This window comes from Homo sapiens, chromosome 10 (genome assembly GCF_000001405.40).
Source record: "Homo sapiens chromosome 10, GRCh38.p14 Primary Assembly".
NCBI lineage: Eukaryota > Metazoa > Chordata > Mammalia > Primates > Hominidae > Homo > Homo sapiens.
The window spans coordinates 49,434,656-49,459,370 of NC_000010.11; the positions used below are offsets into that span (position 1 = coordinate 49,434,656).

Consider the following 24,715-nt stretch of genomic DNA (forward strand, 5'->3'; position numbering starts at 1 on the left):
CTACTCGCGAGGCTGAGGCAGGAGAACTGCTTGAACCCAGGAGGCAGAGGTTGCAGTGAGCTGAGATCACACCACTGCACTCCTGGGCAACAAGAGCAACTAGCCTGGGCAACAAGAGGAAAACTCCATCTCAAAAAAAAAAAAAAAAAATTCATAGAAGACAGGAGAGGAAAATAAAGTTAAAGATGAAAACAAAGCATGATAATAAATACAACACACATGTAATGACAGAAATAAATCCAAATTTATTAGTAATCTCAGTTATACATTGACTATGTTTGTATACTGATGAAAATTATCTGTATACTGATGAAAATTATTTGTAAAATGATAAATGAAAAAACATACTAGGCAAATATTAATCAAAAGAGAACAGTTCTAGCTATACTTACATTAGACAAAATAAACAAGACAAAAAGCATTATTAGGGTGAAAGAGGTTATCATGTGATCATGGGAACAATTTCTATCATATATGACAATGAAAATTCACCATAAAGATATTTTTAAAATCCAGAATCTGTATGTTTCTAACAATATAGTCTTAAAACAGAAAAATCAAAAACTGATAGATTTATAAAGAGAAATTTTAAAATCCATATAATAATGGAAAAGTTCACATACCTTCGTTCAGTAATTGATAGATTAAGCAGGGAAAATAAAGATTAGCAAGGACACAGAAAATTTAAGCAACCCAGTTTACATACTTGACCTAATAAACAGTCACAGAACACCCAACAATCAGCACATTCTGATCAGTTGCTAAGCAACAAAAGTGGCCTCAAGAAACACCAAAATAGCCAATCCCACGCAGAGCACAGTCTCTGACCACAGTGAAACAGCACTAAAAATCAATTACAGAAAGACAGTCAACCCTGCAAATGTATTTGAAAATTCAACACTTTAAATAGCTTATGAATTGGAAGAAATCATATTGAAAATTAGAAATTAGAATCAAATAATGATGAATGCATAGCATATAAAAAATATAGGATGAACCTAAAGCAGTACTTAGAGGGAAAGTTATAGCTTTAAATGCAAGTATTAAAAAGCAAGGAAGAGGGCAGGGTGCAATGGCTCACACCTGTAATCTCAGCACTTTGGGAGGCTGAGGCGGGTGGATCACTTGAGGTCAGGAGTTCAAGACCAGCCTGGCCAACATGGTGAAACCTCGTCTCTACTAAAAATACAAAAATTAGCTGGGCATGGTGGCAGGCGCCTGTCATCCCAGCTACTCAGGAGGCTGAAGCAGGAGAATCACTTGAACCTGGGAGCCGGAGGAGGTTGCAGTGAGCCGAGATCGTGCCACTGTACTCCAGCCTGGGCGACAGAATCAGACTGTCTCAAAAAAAAGAAAGAAAGAAAAAAAAAAAAAGCAAGGAAGACTAAAAAACTATGAAACAAGGATCTAACTCAAATTATTATTTGAAGAATTAACAGACTAAATTCCAAAGCCACCAAAGGAAGAAAATGATGATGAGCATATTCATTTGGGGAAACAAATGAAATTGAACCTCTACCTCTCTCCATGCTTAAAAATTAATTCTAGCTGGATTAAGTACTTAAATGACAAAAGTAAAAATTTCACTAGGAAATATAAGTAAAAGTCTTTCCAAATGTAGAGTAGGAAAAGATTTTTTAAAAAAGACACAGCAAACACTAGCAATAAAATAAAAGATTGATAAATTTGACTATATATAAAAAAGTAAGCTCATCAACAAATAACTTAGTGAAACAGAAAGACACATTAGAAACTTGGAGATAATATTTACATAATCTACACTGAATCTGAATCAAGAATACAAAGAACCCCTACAAATCAATAAGAGAAGGACAAACAAGCCAATAAAAATGAACAGGAAAAAGAACTGAAAAGGAAACACACATGAAGAAATGTCTGAAACCATTAGACATAAAGAAAATCAAATAAAGGTCAGAATGAGATTTTAAACTAATTTGGTCTACAAAAATTAAAGTCTGATAGCATTACATATTGGAAAGGATACAAATCAGCAGGATTTCTTATACTTAAAGTGTAATAGTTGGCACAATGGATACAATTCCATTCCTGGCTCTATGTCCAAGAGACAACCTCACTCATGTGTACCGGGAGGCATATATCAAAGTGTTAATAGCTGCAGTATTTATAATGGAAAAACCTGAGATAACTGAATGCCTTTCAATAAGAAATCACATAGGTAATAAGAAATTAGAACCAGGTAAGAGAGAATAGATAAATTGTGGAATATTTACAAAATGGCATATCATACCATGGTGAAACTTAAAAGTACAGTGATATGGTTTGGCTGTGTCCCCACCAAATTTCATCTTGAATTGTAGCTCCCATAATTCCCACCTGTTGTGGGAAGCACCCGGTGAGAGATGATTGAATCATGGGGGGTGGTTTCCCCCATGCTGTTCTTGTGGTAGTGAATAAGTCTCAGGAGATCCGATGGTTTTATAAGGGGAAATGCCTTTTGCTTGGTTCTCATTCTCTCTCACCTGCTGCCATATAAGACATATCTTTGTTCTTCCCTTGCCTTCCGCCATGATTATGAAGCCTCCCCAGCCATGTGGAACTGTGAGTCCATTAAACTTCTTTTTCTTTATAAATTACCCAGTCTCAGGTATGTCTTTATCAGCAGCATGAAAACGGACTAATATATACAGCTACATGCAATAATGTGGATAAAACACACCAGTATAACATTGACTTTAAAAACAAAGTCTCAGAATATTAAGTACAGCAAGATCCCTTTTTATTACATTAAGAACAACTAAAAATAATGTTCTTCTAGGTATATACAAACATATAAGCAAGGAAATAGTACAAAACTGAGAATAGTGTTTACTAGCTGGGGAAGAAAGGTGGAGGAGAGGAGAGGAATAGACAGGTAGCTGTGAGTTATTGGGGTGTCCTTTCTCTAATTCTGGAGAGTGGGTTCATGGGTGCTTACTAGTACAGGCATAACCAAAATAAAACAGGCATGACAGGATGACAGGGAGCCTCTTCTGCCAAGAATTCTGGCTTATCTGGTTCTGAGCACCTGAGGTCTGTTAGAAAGTTAACAACAGAGTAATCAAATAAATAATAAAAGGCTGATTTTTTGAAGAGACTAATAAGAGAGACAAACCTCCAGCATGAGATCAAGGTGAATAAAGGGAAGAAAAACATGGAAATAGTCTTAAAAATATTTTAAAAAAGTAATTACAGTTAAAGTCAAAATTTAAATAACCATTTGAGAATAGGACACATGTGCATATAACATAGGCACATCCTCCTGTGTACTTTACACCATTTATGGACTACTTGCAATACCTAATACAATGTAAATGCTAGGCAAATAGTTGTCATACTGTATTGTTTTTTGTTTGTATTATATTTTATTGTATTGTTATTTTCTAAAAACGTATTCTTGAACTGCAGTTGGTTGCAGATCCAACCACACTGCAGATCCAACCACACTGCAGATCCAGTGTGGACCCCAGGGACAGCGATGGCCAGGAAGGCATGGTCAGTGAATGAAGCATGCCTGGAGACCAATACACGTCAACTTTAGAAGGGGAGTATATTAGTCCATTTTCAACCTGCTGATAAAGACAACCAGAGACTGGAAAGAAAAAGAGATTTAACTGGACTTACAGTTCTACATGGCTGGGGAGGCCTCAGAATCATGGTGGGAGGCAAAAGGCACTTCTTACATGGCAGTGGCAAGAGAAAGTGAGAAAGTAGAAAAAGTGGAAACCCCTGATAAACCCATCAGATCTCGTGAAATTTATTCACTATCACAAGAATAGCATGGGAAAGACCAGCCCCCATGATTCAATTACTTCCCACTGGGTCCCTCCCACAGCACATGGGAATTCTGGGAGCTACAATGCAACATTTGGGAGGGGACACAGCCAAACCATATCATTCTGCCCCAACCCCTCCAAATCTCATGTCCTCACATTTGAAAACCAATCATGCCTTCCCAACAGTCCCCCAAAGTGTTAACTCATTTCAGTATGAACCCAAAAGTCAACAGTCCAAAGTCTCATCCAAGACAAGGAAAGTCCCTTCTGCCTATGAGCCTGTAAAATCAAAAGCAAGCTAGTTACTTCCTACATAGAATGGAGGTACAGGTATTGGGTAAATACAGCCGTTCCAAATGGGAGAAATTGGCCAAAACAAAAGGGTTTCAGGACCCATGCATCCAAAATCCAGCAGGGCAGTCAAATTTTAAAGCTCCAAAACGATCTCCTTTGACTCCAAGTCTCACATCTAGGTCACGCTGATGTAAAAAGTAGGTTCCCATGGTCTTGGGAAGCTCCGCCCCTGTGGCTTTGCAGGGTACAGACTCCTGCCCAGCTGCTTTCATGGGCTGCCATTGTCTGCGGCTTTTCCAGGTGCACAGTGCAAACTGTTGGTGCATCTACCATTCTGGGGTCTGGAGGACAGTGGCCCTCTTCTTATAGCTCCACTAAGTGATGCCCCAGTAGGGACTCTGCCTGGGGGCCCTGACTCCACATTTCCTTCCACACTGCCCTAGCAAAGGTTCTCCATGAGTGCCCCGCCCCTGCAGCAAACTTCTGCCTGGGCATCTAGGCATTTCCATACATCTTCTGAAATCCAGGTGGAGGTTCCCAAACCTCAATTCTTGTCTTCTGTGCATCCTCAGGCTCAACACCATGTGGAAGCTGCCAAGGCTTGGGGCTTGCACCATCTGAAGCCATGGCCTGAGCTCTATGTTGGCCCCTTTCAGCCACAGCTGGAGCAGCTGGGATGCAGGACACCAAGTCCGTAGGCTGCACACAGCTGGGGGACCCTGGGCCCAGCCCATGAAACCACTTTTTTCCTCCTAGGCCTTCGGGCCTGTGATAGGAGGAGCTGCTGTGAAGACCTCTGACATGTCCTGGAGACATTTTCCCCCATCCTCTTGGGGACTGACATTTGGCTCCTCGTTACTTTATGCAAATTTCTACAGCCGACTTGAATTTCTCCTCAGAAAATGGGTTTTTCTTTTCTATCACATTGTCAGGCTGCAAATTTTCCAAACTTTTATGCACTGCTTCCCTTATAAAACTAAATGCCTTTAACAGCCTCCAAGTCATCTCTTGGATGCTTTGCTGCTTGGAAATTTCTTCCGCTAGATACCCTAAATCATTGCTCTCAAGTTCAAAGTCCCACACATCTCTAGGGCAGGGGCAAAATGCTGCCAGTATCTTTGCTAAAACGTAACAAGAGTCACCTTCACTCCAGTTCCCAAAACAAGTTTCTCATCTCCATCTGAGACCACCTCAGTCTGGACCTTATTGTCCATATTGCTATCAGGCTTCTGGTCAAACCCATTCAACAAGTCTCCAGGGAGTTCCAAACTTTCCCACATTTTCCTGTCCTCTTCTGAGCCTTCCAAACTGTTCTAACCTCTGCCTATTACCCAGTTCCAAAGTCACTTCCACATTTTTGGGTATCTTTTCAGCAACATTCCATTCTACTGGTACCAACTGACTGTATTAGTCCATTTTCATGCTGCTAATAAAGACATACGCAAGACTGGGAAGAAAAAGAGGTTTAATTGGACTTACAGTTCCACATGGCTGGGCAGGCCTCAGAATCATGGCAGGAGGTGAAAGGCACTTCTTACATGGTGATGGCAAAAGAAAATGAGAAAGAAGCAAAAGCAGAAACCCCTGATAAACCCATCAGATCTCGTGAGACTTGTTCACTACCATGAGAATAGCATGGGAAAGACCGGCCCTCATGATTCAATTACCTCCGCCTGGTCCCTCCCACAACACATGGAAATTCTGGGATCTACAATTCAAGTTGAGATTTGGGTGGGGGCACAGCCACACCACATCAGAGAGTTACCTCTGCAGAGAGAGGACATGAAAAGGAACTGGGGTGGCTAATTCTTTTTGTCACATGTATGTCTTTAAGGGAAAAAGAAAAGATCTGAGACAAATTTTGCTTAATATCTTGGTAACTGTTAAACCAAAGATGCAAGGTCATCATTGCAAAAGGCAGAATGGCACCATTTAATTCTGCCTTCAAAAATGCACAAGTCTAAAAGGGAGGTTTCAAAAAGAAGTCAATAATTAACTCAAAAATAGGGAGAGGAAATCTCTGAGAGGAAACTGGTGAGCAGCCAGGCGGGGGTTACAGGAATGGGGCAGGCATGGTGGGCACTACTATATTGGATGCTGATGGCATGGCCTCTCTGTTAACTACAGCAGAAGCTGTAGTCACAGAAATTCCTAAAGAAGAGAAGAACCCTGGAATGGGTGGAATGGGAGGTGGTATGAGAGGTGGCATGTTCTAATTCCTAGAATAGTGCTTTACCTTTATTAATGAGCTGTGACAGGAAGCCCAAGGCAGTGTTCCTCACTAATAATTTCAGAGAAGTCAGTTGGAGAAAATGAAGAAAAGGCTGGCTGATGTTTAAGAAATCACTATAACCATCAGTTACTGGTTTCAGTTGACAAAATATATAATGGTTTATTGCTGTCATTGTCCGTGCCTACAGATAATTCATTTTGTACTTTTGAATAAAAAGACATTTGTACATTCCTGATACTGGGTACAAGAGCCATGTACCAATGTACTGTTTTCAAAGTAAGTCACTGAGGCATTTTTACTACTATTCTGTAAAAATCAGGATTTTAGTGCTTGCCACAACCATATAAGAAGTTAAGCGTCTTTCTATGGAGGCCGAGGAAAACCCTGGCTGCCCGCAGTGCAGCTTCCACACTGTGGTCACGAAGTGGAGGAGGGGCCTCCCTCTCAATACAAGTTACAGTTATTCTAAAATGCGATTGTTGTGAAAGCAGGACTAATGAAAAAAATTTACTCACTTTGCCCTCTTAGTAAACTCGGGACAGCTGTTTACATTTCCTCCTCTTCCCTTGCCTGTGTAGACCCAGTTGTGCACGGTGTGCCATTTTGCATTCTGATTTCTTAACAAAGCGTGCTGTCCCCCAGCCGCCGGCGTCTCCGCAGGTGGGGTGCTGTATTTCCTGTCTGTGGGTGGCAGCGGGTGCGGACGGGAGCAGAGAGTTCGCAGCCAGGGAGCTCGGGTGGGCCCAACGCTGTCCGCCCGCAGCGCCAGCCCCGCTGTGCACAGGGTTTTCCTGGTGTCACAGGTAGTTACACCGCGCTTTGTTTTGGTTTGTTTATTTATATTACTGTTTACGACCAACTAAAAACTAAAAGGAGAAAAGGCAGCATATGCAAGAACCAGACAGGAACAAAAGCAGGCGGGAGAAAGTGTGCTTTACCACTGAAAGCAAAACTTCGTCCTGTGAGTTGAGCCCAAAAACTCCCGGGAGCGGCAGAAACGAACGGCCTCCTCCTCCAGGACCATCTTTGTTGCCCTAGCACATCCCTGGCCCCAGGCTGCCGGTATCCAAACAAGACCCGCGCCCCCGGGGGAAGGGGTGGGGGCCTGTCTTTTAGGAAAACCAAGCTGAATCGCCAGAACTGCAAATGTCCAACATTGCTTTTCCTCAGGCAGAAGAGTTAAACAAATGCCTGGTTTTCCTAACTTGTATCACTGTCCTCCAAACGACAGTTACGCACGGGTGAGCTGCCACTGAGGAAGAAGGTGGACCCCCGCCCTCTCGCGCTCTCTGCCTCAGCGCCCGGTGCGGGGTCGGGACGCTGAGTGGGGACCCATGCCCAGGTCGGCCTTGATTGTCTTGCAAAGCGAAAGCAAAGGCACAGGGCACCGAATTCCCTGTGAAGAAGAAAAGGATCAATGGTGGTGGCCAATATTGAGAAACACGGTTCCTCAAACCAAGGCACAAAGCTAAGGTGCTGCCCTTCCTCTCTCCCAAAGAAGCAGAAAGTTGAAACAACATAGAAATTCTTGACAGCCACGATGCTGGTGATATGCATTAGTCAGATTTTTCCTGTCTTAAATTCAGAAACTGCACAAAACAATACAGTAATCTCCGTGGAAGCTGATGCCAGTCTTTTTCCAAATCTGAAACCCACAATGCACACAAGGTGAGATTGTCAGCACATCACACTGTGCTTGGTTGACCATGCTGGGGGCAGGTGGCCATGGAACCAGGAAGGCCATAGGACTACAAGAATTTCTTTTGTTCAGATGAACAATTACCTTCTCAAGCTGCTCACTGCAGACTTCTTTCCATTCTTCACTTCCATCTTTTTATTCCTATTTTTAGTGAAAAATATTTTCTATTTTAAGTTCAGTTTACTTGCTCAGCAAAATGTAATTTTTATTCTCCAGATTAAAACAATTTCAAAATTCTATTCCAAACATTAATTTTAGGATTAAAACATACCCAACAGACTGAAAATGTTAGAGTGTCACTCTGTCTGCAGATAGAGTGATTTTGTTTTCATTTACTTCTGACGCTTGTGCCAATGAGGGTGTAAAATGTACCGTTAGTGTGGCTTGGTGGGCAGGAAGTTACCTCTTCTTCTGCCTTTGCGTAAATGACGTTCCCAGTGATTTAACAGAACAGACATTGAATGGGAAACTGAATTCTAACTTCTGAAAGAACCTTTTGCCATTTGTGTTGTAAAGATTCAGATTTTAAAAATATGTTCTACAATTACTTTCATAAATTAAGTGTTTATAAACTGAGGTTAAAGGAAGTTAAATCAATGTCATTAGATGAAGACAAAATTCCAAGACAACAGAAAAAAAAGTACACGCAAAAAAACTCATAAATACTTGTATACTATTTAGATATATACAATCATACACCACATAATGATGTTTCAGTCAATCATGGATGGAATACACAATGGTGGTCCCAAAAGACTATAATAGAGCTAAAAAATTCTTACCACCTAGTACATCACAGCCCTCAGAACATTGCAGTGCAATATATTATGTGTTTATCTTGATGCTGTTGTAAACAACCCTACTGCACTGCCAGTTGTATAAAAGTGTACAGTAATGTCTTAGGCCTTCACATTCACTTACACTCACTGACAAACCCAGAGCAACTTCCAGTCCTCCAAGCTCCAGTCAGAAGTGTCCTATAGGGGTGTACCATTTGCTATCTTTTATACCATATTTTTTCTGCACCTTTTCTGTGTTTAGATATGTTCAGATACACAAATACCATTATGTTACAACTGCCTACAGCAATCAGTACAGTCACATGCTGTACAGGTTTGTAGCCATATAGCCTAGGTGTGTAGTAGCTGTACCACTGAGGTTTGGATAAGTCACTCTATGAGGCTAGCACAATGATAAAAGTGCCTATGACATGCTGCTCAGAACGTGTCCTCATATCCCTGTCATTAAGTGACACCTGTCTGTATATACATTCATAAGTGGTTGACGACAGGAAAAGGAAGGCCACTGTGAATCAAAAACCACATAGGATAAGAAGGAAAGCATACTCAGATGGGGCAGGTGGCGGCTGCCAAGGTGGGAGTGCTGGCAAGGAGAGGTGTGCTGGGCCCACAGGGTCACTGCATTAGGATCAGCCAAGGATTAGGTCCTCCTTCCCCTGCCCTTGCCATGCAGAGACCTTTGTCTACCCCTGCCCCAGACATTTCTGTGGACACTTCGACAAAGAGGCCTTGCCATGCCCTCAGGGCTGGAATTCACCAGGAGAAATGGGAGCCTTCACCCTACTGAGACTCGCTCCTGGACACCCTCCTCAGCAGCCCAACCCAGCTCTCTCCACAGCGCTGGAGGCAGTGTAGGATCCACAGGATCAACAGGACAGGCAAACAGGGGGTCTCAAATATATCAAACATAGCTAAGACCACCCAAGATCTGAAGAAAACCAACACCACAAAACTCAACCAACTGCAGCACTGGAGGAGGCAAAAGGAGATGGGGAGGATATATCCTATATTTTAGGAGAGCCCAGTGCATCCATGACACAGGACAGAGCATTACGAAAGAAGGACCAAGGGCAAATCCTAGGAGAGAACAGTCGATTGTGAAATTAAAAGAAAAACATCGGGGCATGGGCAGAATATCAGAATGGACACTATTGAAAAGCAATTGAGTGAGTACGAGGATTGAGCTGAAACATTCTTCCAAAATGTACAAAAGCCCAGTTTTACAAGTAGTCTATGAAATGTGCATGTAATTCCTATGTTACAGGAACTCTTCTGAGAACATAAAAAGGTGGAGTATTTCCCAATTTATTTTCCAAGACAAGAACAACTTTCACACATGCATGCATGCACACACACACAGCACAGCAAAAAGTAAAGAAAAAATAACTATACAGCAATTTCCCTTATGATCTGAGAGGTTAAAAATCTAATAAAGTATTAGCCAATTGAAACCAGCAGTATATTAAAAGCGAAATATATCATGACCAAATAGGGGTTCCCCACCTTCATCCCAGGATTAGGAATATTCTAGGAATGATGAGTTGATTTAAAAAAAACAACAACAAAAAAACACTAAATATACTATACTAATCCAATTCAGAAACCTAGTAGATTAAAGAAGTATTGTCATTTCAGTAAATGTAGAAAATGCAACTAAAAAATTCATAATTTGTTTCTAATGAAAACTATTTGTAAGCTAGGAACAGGAAAAGGGTTCTTAACTCATTAAAAGGTGTCAACCAGAAATTTAGAGCACATATGCTTCACACATGCAAAGCATTCCTCATTTAAGTTAGGAAAAAGACACAGATGACCACTCCCATCACCATTCCTGGCAAATGCGGGGCTAGAGGAAGATGGTAGCACAGTAAGAAAAGAATAAGGTTTATAAATACTGAAAAGAAAGAGGCAATCATGTCGTTATTTGTAGATGATCTTTGGTATATCTAGAAAATATGAGAACCAGTTGCTGAAGCTTTAGAACTATAAAGATAATCCAGCAGTAATAAAAATAAGAAAAGTAACATAAAAATGAAACTGCTAACACACACAGCTCTTATTTTTGTGCCAGGCACTATTCTAAGCTCTTTAGACCAACATGACAAATTAAAAAATGTAATGGTTTCAGCAATGTAACAGATAAGATTACCCAAAAGGCCTTCTAAACAAGAAATGTTATTTATAATGTTAAATATAATGTGACAAAAATCCGTTTAACGACATAGCTGAGATCTTAGCAAAGTCAAGTGCCAGGGGCTACAAACGAGAAAGAAACTATAAATAGAGTGGTCCATATTCCCTGAAAAGTGCTGTTCCTGAAATACAGAAGTTTGGATTTAACACCAAGGCATGGGTAGCAGACAAAAATATGGGCTTGCTTTAGAAAAAGAATCAGAACTGAGACCCCCTCATACAGGTATGGCCTCAGAAAAACAGTGGGCTAGAATATTAATAGAATCTACCTCCCGCTACAGAGAAGCTTTGCTGTTTGAGCTGGATTCTTAGTGGGGGACTTATCCTCCCTCATATCTCACCCCACCTCTACACTCAGACAATTCATAACTATAAGTTCACATGAGTTTGAAGTCCAAACTTACATTACCACAAGATCCAAAATATTGAAAGTTAAGAAATTAACAGAAAAAATTGGTCCCAGGCTGATAATAACCATCAGATGCAAGCACATACAAAAACCATGCTGGTGAGAAAGCCCCTTTGAAGATGACTCACCCATCTTTACACACAAAAACGTCACACACACACACACACACACACACACACACCCCCCAATTTACTGTGAGGGAGAGCCAGCAGACACCACAAAGAGCAGGATCAACAGCAAGACCTCCAGCCAGTGCAGTAATCTGATGGAGTCTATGAAACAGTGGTGTTTAAAATTATTATAGCCACAAGAAGAAAAAATAAGAAAAAAGCATTGTAAGACAAAATTGGGAAGCTTAGAGGGGAGGAAGAAACAATTTTAGAAATAAACATTATGATTATAAAATTAAAAATTCAGGCTGGGCACAGTGCCTCATACATGTAATCCCAGTGCTTTGGGAGGCCAAAGCAGGAGGATCACTTGAGCCAAGAGTTCAAGACTGGCCTGGGTGACACAGCGAGACTCTGTCTCTCTGAAAAAATTTTCAAACTTCAGCCAGGTGTGGTGGCATCTGCCTGTAGCCCCAGCCTCTTGGGAGGCTGAGGCGGGAGGATCACTTGAGCCCAAGAGTTCGAGGTTGCAGTGAGCTATGGTCAAAAGTTTGCAGTGAGCTATGATCTGAGCTATGATCGTGCCACTGCACTTCAACCTGGGCAAAAGTGAAACTATGTCTCAAAAAATAATAATAAAAATTCAATGGATAGCTTAACCAGAAAGTTAGAAATAAAAAGTTCCAGAAGGGTGAAAGCAAATGAGGAGAGGCAGTATTCAAAGAAATAATGGCTACAGTCTTCCAGAACTGTTGAAGGACATGAATCCTTAAATTCAGGAAGCACAGGCTCCATACAGGATAAAAATAAATCCACATATCTCTGAGGACTGAACCAGAAGGGGAAAAACACCCATAAATCAGAGTGAAACTGCAGAACACCAATGACAAACAGATGATAACCACAAAGGAATAACTTTGAAAAATTTATGTGGAAAAAAGACACATAAATCATAATGAAACTGCAGAACACCAATGACAAACAGATGATATCCACAAAGGAACAACTTTTAAAACAGACAAAATAAACAATTTTCTAGAAAAATCTTACCAAAATAGACTGAAAGCAATATTGAACACCTGAAGATATTTTTTAAAGTGTACAAATCAGCAGCCTTTAGTACATTCACAATGTTGTGCGATCACCACTTCCATCTGGTTCCAAAGCACTTTCATCACCCCATAAAAGAACCCTATACCCATTAAGAAATCACTCCCCAGCTGGGCGTGGTGGCTCACGCCTGTAATCCCAGCACTTTGGGAGGCCGAGGCGGGCAGATCACAAGGTCAGGAGATCGAGACCATCCTGGTTAATATGGTGAAACCCCATCTCTACTAAAAAAATACAAAAAAAATTAGCCGGGCATAGTGGCGGGCACCTGTAGTCCCAGCTACTTGGGAGGCTGAGGCAGGAGGCCGAGGCAGGAGAATGGCGTGAACCTGGGAGGTGGAGCTTGCAGTGAGCCAAGATCGTGCCACTGCACTCCAGCCTGGGCAGCAGAGCAAGACTGTCTCAAAAAAAAAAAAAGAAAGAAAGAAATCACTCCCCATCCCCCTCCCCACCCCAGCCTCTCACAACCATTCATCTGCTTTCTGTCTATAGAATTCCCTGTTCTGTGTATTTTATATAAATGGTATCATACAATATATGTTATCTTCTGTGTCATCCTTGTTGCATCAGTACTTCATCCCTTTTGTGGCTGAGTAATATTCCACTGTGTAGATAGACCACATTTTGTTTATCTATTCATCTGTCAATGGACGCTTCAACTGTGTCCACATTTTGACCATTGTGAATAGTGCTACTATGAATATTCACATACAAGTATTTGTTTGAGCACCAGTTTTCAGTTTGTGGAATATTCCACAAAGTATAATTGTTGGATCATATGGTAATTGTATGTTTAACTTTTTGAGGAAACACCAAACTATTTTTCACAGTGGTTGCACCATTTTACATTCTCACCAGCAATGTATAAAGGTTTGCTTATCCATGTCCTTGTCAACATTTGTTATTGAGTTTTAAAAAAATTATTATAGTCATGCTAGTGACTGTGAAGTGGTACCTCATCACAGTTTTGACTTGCCTTTCCCTAAAGACTAATGATGTCAAGCATCTTTTCATGTGCTTTTTGGCCATTTGTATATCTTCTTTGGGAAATGTCTATTCAGATTCTTCAAGCATTTTTAATTGGGTTGTCTTTTTGTTAAGCTCCCAATTTATCTTGCACCTTATGTTAATTATTTATTAACAACTGTACTGAGATATAATTCATATACCATATAACTCATTTATTTCAGTAGTACAATTCAGTAGCTTTTAGTATACTCAAAGATACATGCAACCATCACCACCTCAATTTTACATTTTCATCATCTGAAAACCTAAAAATCACCTCCAAACCCCCAACTTTTTAACTATTGTCCCCACTTATGACCCTTTAAGCAACCTACTTACCACTCTTTCTTTAAGCAACCACTAACCTACTTCCTGTTTCTATAGATTTCCCTATTCTGGACTTTTATATGGATGGGATCATAGCATGTGGTCTTTCATGACTTTTTCACTTAGCAGGAAATTTTAGAGGTTCATCAGTGTTATAGCATGTATCAGTGTATCCGTCCTTCATTGCTTTTTGGGGCTGAATAATATTCCATTGTATAGATATACTGCATTTTAAAATCCATTCACCTATTGATGTATATTTGAGCTGTTTCCACTTTTTGGCTATTACGAACAATGCTGCTAGAGATTCATTTACAAGTTTCTGTGTGGACATAAGTCTTCATTTCACTTGGTTATATACCTAGGAGAGGAATTTCTAGGTCATAGGCTAGCTCTGTGTTTAATCATTTGAGAAATTGCAACTGTTTTCTAAAGTGGCTGCACCATTTTACATTCTCACCAGCAGTATCTGTGGCTTCCAATCTCTCTACAATCTCTTGTCAACACTTGTTACTATCTTTTTTATTTTAGCCAACTTAGTGGGTGTGAAGTGATATCTCATTGTGGTTTTGCTTTGCATTTCCCTGATGACTAATGATGTCAAGCATCTTTTCATGTGCTTATTGGCCATTTTTATATATTTGGGAAAATGTCTAATCAGATCCTTTGTCCATTTTTAAAGTTATTTCTGAGTCTTTATTAGATATGATTCACAAATATTTTCTCCAATTCTGTAGGTTGTCTTTTCCCTTTCTTGATGGTATCCTTCAAAGCACAAAAGCTTTAAATTTCAATGAAGTCCAAATTCTCTTCTTTTGCTGCTTGTGTTTTTAATGTCATATCTTAGAATGCTTGCCAAGCCCAAGTTCATGAAGATTTACCCATTTTCTTCTAAGAGTTTTATAGGTTTTGCTTTGATAGTTAGGTCTTTTTTTTTTTTTTTTTTTTTTTTTTGAGACAGAGTCTCACTCTGTCACCCAGGCTGGAACGCAGTGGCACAATCTCGGCTCCTGGGTTCAAGTGATCCTTCTGCCTCAGCCTCCCAAGTAGCTGGGACTACAGGTGCACGCCACCACGCCCAGCTAATTTTTGTATTTTTAGTAGAGACAGGGTTTCACCATATTGACCAGGCTGCTCTCAAACTCCTGACCTTATGATCTGCCCACCTCAGCCTCCCAAAGTGTTAGGATTACAGGCGTGAGCCACCGCGCCTGGCCTCTTTCATCTATTTTAACTTGTTTTCTTTTTTCTTTTTTTTGAGATAGGGTCTTGCTCTGTCACCCAGGCTGGAGTACAGTGGCATGCTCATGGATCACTACAACCTTGACCTCCTGGGCTCAAGTGATCCTCTCACCATAGCCTCCTGAGTAGCTGGGACTACAGATGCACATGACCATGACCAGCTAACTTGTTTTTTCTGTAGAGACATGACTTTGCCATGTTGCCCAGGCTGGTCTGAAACTCCTGGACTCAAGCAATCTGCCCCTTTGCCTCCCAAAGTGCTAAGACTACAGGCATGGGCCGTCATACCCAGCCAACTTTTTAAATATAATGTAAGGTAAGTGTCCAACTTCATTCTTTTGCACGTGACTATCCACTTGTCCCAGCACCATTTGTTGAAAAGACTGTTCTTTCCCCACTGAATGGACTTGGCACCTTTACTGAAAATCAGTTGACTACAGATGTTTGCATTTATTTCTGGAATCACCATTTTTTAAAAAAATACAATGATCTATGTCTACCCTTGTGCCAGTAACACACTTCTTAATTACTATTGTTTTGTAATTCAAAATGAAGAAATGTGGGTTTTTCTACTTTATTCTTTTTCAGGATTTCTTTGGCTATTCTGGGTCCCTTGAAATTTCATATAACTCTTAGCATCAGCTTGTCAATTTCTGCAAAGATGTCAGCAGAGATTCTGACAGGGATTATGCTGAATCTGCAGACAAGTTTGAGGAATATTGTCATCTTAACAGCATTAACTCTTCTGATCCATGAACATGGCATGTTTTTCCATTTATTTAGGTCTTCTTTAATTACTTTCTGCAATGTTTTGTAGTTTTCAGAGTGTAAGTTTTGCACTTTTTGTTAAATATGTTATTAAGCACCTTATTCTTTTTGATGCTATTATGAATATTCTTAATTTCATTTTTGATTATTCATTGCAAGTGTGTAGAAATACGATTTTTTTTTTTTTGAGATGGAGTCTCGCTTTGTCACCCAGGCTGGAGTGCGGTGGCACAATCTTGGCTCACTGCAAGCTCCGCCTCCCAGGTTCATGCCATTCTCCTGCCTCAGCCTCCCAAGTAGCTGGGACTACAGGCACCCGCCACCACGCCTGGCTAATTTTTTGTATTTTTAGTGGAGACAGGGTTTCACCGTGTTAGCCAGGATGGTCTTGATCTCCTGACCTCATGATCCACCTGCCTCGGCCTCCCAAAGTGCTGGGATTACAGGCGTGAGCCACCATGCCCGGCCCAACTGATTTTTAAATACTGATGTTGTATCCTCCCATCTTGCTGAACTCACTTATTAGTTTCAATAGTTTTTTTTTTTTTTTTTGGTGGATTCCCTAGAATCTTCTACATACAAGATCATGTCATTTGTGAACAGTCTTTCTTCTTCCTTTCCAACCTTTATTTTCTTCTTGCATAATTGCAATGGCTTAGACCCTCCAGTACAATGTTAAATAGAAGTGTGATAATGGGCATCCTTGTCTTATTTCTAATCTCAGTGGGAAAGCATTCAGTTTTTCACCATTAAGTATAAAGAAAGCTGTAGATTTTTCATAGATGTTCTTTATCAGGTTAAGGTAGTTTCCTTCCGTTCCTCGTTTTTCAAACATTTTTATGATGAAAGGGTGTTGGATTTATTCAAATGCAGCTATTTTTGCATCAGTAGAGATGACTTTTTTATTATATTGATATAATGTATTACATTGATTTTCACATGTTAAGCCAATCTTATATCCCTGGGATAAATCCTACTTGGTGATGGTGCATAATTATTTTTATATGTTGCTGGATTTGGTTTGCAGCATTTAGTTGAGGATTTTTGCAGGTATTTCATAAGACATATTGGTCTGCAGTTTTCTTGTAATATCTTTGAGCAGTTTTGTTATCAGGGCAATACTGGGAAGTACTCCCTCCTATTTCTTGAAAGAGTTTGAGAATAATTGCTATAATTTATTTGATTGTTTGGTAGAACACAGTGGTAAAACTGTCTGTGCCTGGACTATTCTTTGTGGGCAATTTTCTGATTCCTGGTTTAATCTGTTCACTAGTTATAGGTCTATTCAGATTGCCCATTTCTGTAAGGTTGGTAGTAGTGTCTACTCTTTCATATCAGATCCTAGTAATTTGAGTATTGCCTTTTTATTGGTCAACCTAGTGAAATATTTGTCATATTTATTGATCTTTTCAAATTACCAGTTTCTAGTAATATTTTCTCTATTGTTTTTCTATTCTTTCATTAATTTCTACTCTAATTTTATTATTTCCTTCCTTCTGCTTGCTTTAGGTTTAGTTTGTTCTTCTTTCTTCAGTGACTTAAGGTGGAAGAAAGGTTATTGCTTTATTTCTTCCTTAATACAGGCATTTACACCTATAAATTTCCTCTAAGCACTTTTTTAGCTGCATCCGTACAGTTTACTTGTGTCTTAATTTTCATTAGCCTCAAAGTGCTGATTACCTTCTTGTTTTCTTCTTTGGTCTATTGGTCATTTAGTAGTGTGTTGTTCAATTTCCTAATTGTGAGTTCTTCAAATGTTCCCATTTTTTATTTCTAATTTAATCCTGTGATTATGTTCACAAAATGCACTTTGCATTATTTCTATCCTTTTAAACGTATTGAAGTTTCATGGTCTAGCATAAGGCCTATCCTGAAGAATGTTCTATGAGCATTTGATAATGTATATGCTGTAGCGCTTGGGTGAAGTGTTCTATAGATGTCTGTTAGGGCTAGTTGGTTTACAGCGTTGGTCAAGTTTTCTATTTCATTGTTAACCTTGTGTCTAGTTTTGTCCATTACTGAAAATAGGTTATGGAGTCTCCAATTATTATTGTGACCATTTTCTTCTTCCATTTCTGTCAGTTTTTGCTTTCTGTGTTTTGATACTGTTAAGTTCATACATATGTTTACAACTGTTATATCTTTTTGATGGGTTAACCTTTTTATCATTATAAAATGTCTCTATCTCTAGGAGCATTTTTGTCTTAAAGTCTACTTTGTCTGACACTAGTATAGCCAGTCCAGCTTTCTTATGGCAATTGTTTGCACTATTTCTTTTTGTATCCTTTTAATCTATCTGTGTCTTTGAGCCTAAAGTGTGTTATCTATGGGAGCATAGATAACATAGAGTTGGAATGTATTTTTAATCCAATCTGATAGTCTCTGCCTGATTAAATTCATTAACATTTATTATTGATAAGTTGAATACACATTACTTTTTGTTTTCTAGTATCCATTGTGTTCTTTTCATTCTCTTTTAATATTGCCTTTTGCATCGAGTATTTTCTAAGGTAGTATTTTAATTTGATTAATGATTTTTCAACTATATTTCTGGAGTTATTTTATTAGTGGTTGCTCTAGTGTTTACCATATACATCTTATCAGAATCTGTTAGAATTACACAAGCTTAACTCCAATAATATATAGAAGCTTTACTCTTATATAGCTATATTCCCTTTCCCCCTTTTTGTGATATTTTAGGTATACATATGGTATCTATTAATGTTACAAATCCAACACATTGTTATAATTATTACTTTACCATCTGCCATCATTTAATTAGTCTACTACAGCTTTGCTCCCAGCCACCTCCTTTGTGCTGTTTTGACAAATGTTACATATATGACATTTCTGTATGTTATAGACCAATACATCATATACGTATTATTTGATACAGTTGCATTTTAATCAGTTAAGAGGAGAAAAATATGCATTTATGTGACTTTTATAATTATATAATTGCTTTTACTGGTGCTCTTCTCTTGCTTTCAGCCTAAAGAACTTCATTTAATACTTCTTATTAGGCAGGTTGGTTAACAACAATTTTTCTGTTTTTGTTTATCTGGGAAAGTATTTCACTTATATTTTTGAATAATACATTTGCTGGATATAGGATTCTTGGTTGACAGTTTTTTTTTCTTCAAGCACTTTGACTGTTATACCTGCCTTCTGGCCTCCATTATTTCTTTTGAGAAGTCAAGTATTAATTTTGTTCTCTAAGTGATGTATCTTTTTTTCACTCACTACTTTCAAGGTTTTCTCATCTTTGATTTCAGCATTTTTGACTATGATGTGTCTGTGAATCCCTCTGCATTTATCATGCTGGAAGTTCACTAAGCTTCCTAGATGTTTTTCAATCAATTTGGAGAGTTTTCAGTCATTGTATCTTTAAATATTTCCTTTTTCTTCTGCTCTTCTTGTACTCCCATTACATGCATACTTAATGGTGCACATAATGGTGCTTCACATTTCTCTGAGGTTTTGCTCATTTTTCATTTTTTTTCTCTCTGTTCTTTGGAAAGCATATCTCTCTTATTCTATCTGCCAGTTGGCTGACAATTTCTTCTGCCAGTTCAAATCTACTATTGAACCCCTTTAGTGCATTTTTTCCTTATTATAGTTTTTAACTTCATGAATTTAGCTCTTGCCACTTGAAGCTGGAGGGGATAAGAAATGCTGGCATCTTGCCCCTCCCTGTGAGGTACCATACCTCTGGACAGGGAGCTGAGGGAGACGGAGCTCTGTTTTCTTGGCTGCACCCACTGAAATGGGAGGGAGGGAGTGAGTGTGTTGTGGCTGAAATGTCTGACTCACTGTTCTTACCAAGATTTGGATTTTCTTGAATAAGCGTTACTTTATTCTACATGCTTTTAGGACAATTTCCAGTGGCATTAAGTGTTTGTGTCTCTCTGTATGAGAGGAAGGTGTTTATTTTTTGTTACAATTTTCACTAGTTATAGCTAATTCCTAGGACAGTGGGTCCACAGGGCCCTTCACATTGCCATTCTGGAAGTGAAAATCTAAAAGATATTTCAATGTTAGAAAATTTAACTGTGTACTTTACTACACCAAGAAAAGCTATACAATTATATCAATATATACCAGAAAAGACTTTGAGGACAATCATTCTACCATTTGTGATAATCAATTATGATACCACAATGATAAAAACAGTGGGTTACTAAGCAAAGTTAGATAAATGGACCAATTTAACAGAATGCAGAGCCAAGAAACATTTCCGTACATTATATGTAAATTGGTAAAGGTGGCCTTATACATCAGGAGGAAAATAATAAACTATTTTTTAAAGGTGCTAGGGAAACTAGCTATCCATATGGGATTAATAATTCATAAGAATGTATTCATGACCCTAGCTAGGGAATGGTTCTTAAATAAACAAAAAAAAATGGAAAGACTGAATTTACTATATTTTAAAACTTCCGTATGATAAACATCACAAAATAGATATGTGAATATGCTAATTCTCCATATTTTTATGTAAGTTAAAAGACTCACAACCAAAACTAAAAATCTATAAAACACCTAGGAATAAGCCTATTATGAAATGTGCAAGACATTTATGAAGAAAGTTATTAAAATTTCATCCAAGAATATAAAAGACTTTAATAAAATGAGGCCTATCATAACACTAATCAGAAACATTATATTAATTATAAAGAGGTCTATTATTCTCAAATTAATGTGTAAACAAATGCAATCCTAGTCAAAAGAACACCACAATTTTACTGGAATTTAATAAACTAATTCTTGATTCAGCTGGAACAGAAAACACCCAAGTATAAGACACTGAAGAGGGGGAGAAAGGAAAAGGAACTTGCCCATGAATGGCAAAACACAATGCAAAGCACCAAATGACAGCGTGAGGAGTGTGGTTGGTAGAACCAACACCTGGATCCACAGGACAGAAATAGACAACTTAGCATGTGATGAGTTGAAAGCTGACATTTTAAACTGGTGGAGAAAAGAATATTTGTTGATCATTGGAATAACTGCCTTTTTGTTTTTGTTTAGGGGAGCAATCCTAAAAGATAAACAACCCACAGGAAAACTAGGCCAACATAACACTAATAGGCAATGTACGGTAGAGATCTACAAATGGCCAATAAACATGGAAATGTTTGATTTTGTACGTAATCAGGGAAATTCAAGTGAAAACAAGGTACTTTCAATCACGAGACTGGTTAAAACAAAACAAAACAACCTATCGATATTGATACCACTTACTGTTGGCAAGGGTTTGGAGAAATGGGTCCTTTTATGGAGGGTGAATTGATGCAAGCAATTCTGCTACATCCACTGACATTTAAAATCTACATCATTAATCCAACAATTCTGTGCAGGCAGAGCTATACTTACAGGAATAGAAATGTCTTGCATATAATATTAAATGAAAAGTTAGTTGCAAAATAAGGATGGTATAAGGCCATTAATATAAATTACATATTTAAAGCAAACTAATTGCTATAATAGACTTCAAAAGACAGTAGCTTAAGCAAGTCAGTATTTTATTTTACTCTTAAATAACAGGTCAAAGGAGAGCAGTTCAAGACTGGCAGGCCAACTTCTCCTTCCTCAACACATCACTTCCATCTCTTGAGATGCCAGGTCACTACTGAAGCTCCCATTGGCCTCCCAGCCAGCAAGAAAGGGGAATGTCAAGGAGAGTGCATACCCTGCTTCTTTAAAGGGCCAATTGGGAAGTTTAAAACTTAGTCATATGGCCACAATTAACTATAAGAGAGGCTGAGAAGTAGTCTTAAGCTGAGCAGCCAGACGTCCAGGTAAAACTCAAAAATTTTATTAGTAAAGGAAGAATGGGAAAATGACATTATAGCAGCAGTCTGTGTCATGTGATTCTCTAAATGCATGGAGAATACACACCAAACCTAGGGCTGTACTTAGCTGTGGAACAGGTGCAAGATGGTGTGGGGGTGGGGAGGCAGACTATTGCTTGAACATTTTTAATGGTGATAGTATTAACATTTAATTTTTTGACAAAATTTTAAAATCCTTTATTTGTGCTGATAAAGCATGTTAAATACATTAAATCTATTTACACTGTACAAAGCTTTTAAAGTTCTAAAAATCAGATTTTTATCTAAATGAATAAATTTCTCTGTATTGTTAAAACCATTCTACTTAACTGCATTGTTCTCCAAGTCCCTCCAGCCAGGAGGCACGGTAACAATGTGTCAGATCTCCACACTGAGACACCACCTTCCCAAGATCATGGTACATCAGCAGCAGAACTGAGACAAAAACTGGAACAAGGACCACCTTGCTCCTACTGCATTATAGCTTTTGATAGTATTTGCTACTTGAAGAGGAGGCTATACCTTGTCTAGCTCAATACAGTTTATGTTTCAGACACTATAAGTATGATACCCAAATGCTTCATGAGTGAACAAGGTCAGCAGATCACCCTGAGAACAAGGAAGACACAATTTCCTTATAGGCTAATGATTATAAAAATAGAAATTAAGAGCTCCCCAGAAACAAACCACTTAGTCAAAAAGGAAGGAGTTTTGACTTTCTTCTAAGCCAAGTACTCAAGTTTAAGACTTATTGGCCTATTTAAAAATTCTTTCTATGACTTCTAAACAATGATGGCAAAGTGACAAAAATAATGTAATCATCTTCTTCCCTCATTATATATAAACCAAACTAAAAACAAAAGAAATGAACAAGCTATAATCCAAAAAAAACTAGAAAATCCTGACAGGAATCATATAGAACATCTCTAAGAAAAGGATTCTTGGCTTAAGCAAAATATTAGAGCAGAGAAAGCAAAACTCATGTCCTCTCATGCAGTCCGGCAAGGCCCCCCTGCCCAGAACCCTCCTCTCTGAGTCACATGGATGAGCAGACAGAAGATCTGGACACAGCTATCCATGTTAAGCATGAGAGAGATGTAAAGAAATAGCAGGGTAGGAGGGCAGGCATACTACAGAAAAATGAGAGAGAGGAAAAGAGCATGCCAGAGAATACAAATCCAAGAAACAAACTGCACTAAGACAGCTAAGAAGAAATTTCAGGAATACGATGAATTTCGGAAAACAACACTTCAAAGATGAGATGATAAAATCATCCTGAGAAGGAAACAAGAAAAACATGGGTAAGAAAATAAACTGAGGATCAAAGCAACACCATCACAGAACCACAAACACATAAACAGTAGTGAGATACAAACAGCCTTGGCTGGAATCCAAACCGCAGAAACAAGAAAGCCCGTCGCAAGGAATGCAAAGGCAGGCGCAAGACGAAGGCAACTGGAGAGAAGACAGCCTGCCAGCCTGCAGACAAGAGAGGCCTGGAGTGGTGTCACTTCATGGTAACAACGGCTGGGTCTGCTGTGGGCTGCAGTGATGTTTGTGTGCATGCATGTGTGTGGTTTTTATGTACCTACTTTTGGCTTTAATTTGATTTTTTTTAATGATAACACATTTTGTGACTGTAGGAGAGAAAAAGATGCCCTCTGCTTAAAGGAAAGCCAGGGTAAACTGAATACCCTACAGCTTTCCACAAATACATGTCTTATCATTTATTACCATACTATTTCATGCTTTACTAATAAAAATACTCACCAATTTACCAGTACCTTGAAAAGAGGATCTTTCCAAGAAAATTAATATAATTATCAAACAACAAATAACAAACCTGACCTTTGTGGGTGGCAAATGGTAAATATAAATGTTTAAAGTTTAAGCATCAAAATAATGCTGTTATCAGATATTGATGAACTTATTGAACAGGTCTGACTGAATGTAAGACCTGTTTTTAGCACCAATAAAAAAAAATATTGAGATTTCTGTTCTGCAAACTTCTAACTGTGCTCCCTGACAGCATCTTTTGGGTAAAGGAACAAATGTGCTCCAAGGAGTAACTGTTAGGTACCTGATTTACAATATAATTAGATTGCCAAAAAAAAAAAAATCAATCCAAGTATTTTCTCCTTTAGCTAGCATTATTAAAACTTTTAACTTTCAGAGAAGAGTTTCTTCTTCCTTAAAGTTTTAATTCTGAGGTAGACATCATGCAAACAAACATCAAGTGCAGCCAACTTCCATTGACAAACATGATTATTAATAATAAATTAATAATCAGAAATGCCCGTTAGAAAAAGGGACTTGAAAGTTTAGGAAGCAATGTTGTTTAGCAGTATTCTGGCTTGAGTTTCCAAATTCCTTCACCACCAGAAGTTCTATGGAAAGTGCACAGATTTCTCAATAGTTCTCGGAAGACACAAGACTGTGATGCAGATAACTTGGATTCAAACTCCTGCAGTATCTCCCTGGTGCTGGCCTGGCCATCAGTGTGGGCCTGGAAAGCGATGAAGTTTCTCATCTCCACCAGAAGGTCATCGTGTTCTGTGGTGGGCAGCAGGGCAGAAGCTTCCTGCAGGTGCCCGCTTTCACTTTCTAAACGCTCTGGCAGAATCAGGTGGTTTCTAGCTCTCATTTTAGCCAAGAGTGAGGAGGAAGCGAGGGGCCCGGATGAAGAGTCTGCATCTTCTGCTCTTCCACTAAAATGCTCAGGGACATTATCTTTTCCCTCCTTTTTCATGATGCCATCCTATAAAAAGAAGACCACTATACTGATATATTTAATTTCTAGTTTATGCCCCCACTTCCTTCCCCAAAGGCTGTGAAGGGTCACAAGACAACACATGTGCCAGGGTGGTGAGGTTGACAGGGTGAGACTGAGACTC

The 24,715-nt window shown here is 38.9% G+C and overlaps 1 protein-coding gene and 1 pseudogene across 2 annotated transcripts in view; one reads left to right on the top strand and one right to left on the bottom strand.

Moving 5' to 3' along the window:
* Positions 1 to 225: 225 nt before the first annotated feature.
* ERCC6 (ERCC excision repair 6, chromatin remodeling factor) overlaps positions 226 to 24,715 on the bottom strand; it is a 104,658-nt gene continuing 80,168 nt past the window's right edge. The window contains exon 21 of one of the 2 annotated variants that reach the window (NM_001346440.2): positions 226 to 24,579. In NM_001346440.2, coding sequence (NP_001333369.1) covers positions 24,160 to 24,579 — 420 coding nt within the window. In that variant the 3' untranslated portion in view covers positions 226 to 24,159. The remainder of the gene's footprint in view (positions 24,580 to 24,715) is intronic. The other variant, NM_000124.4, reaches the window with a different exon arrangement.
* On the top strand, positions 6,161 to 6,301 carry HSPD1P17 (heat shock protein family D (Hsp60) member 1 pseudogene 17; annotated as a pseudogene).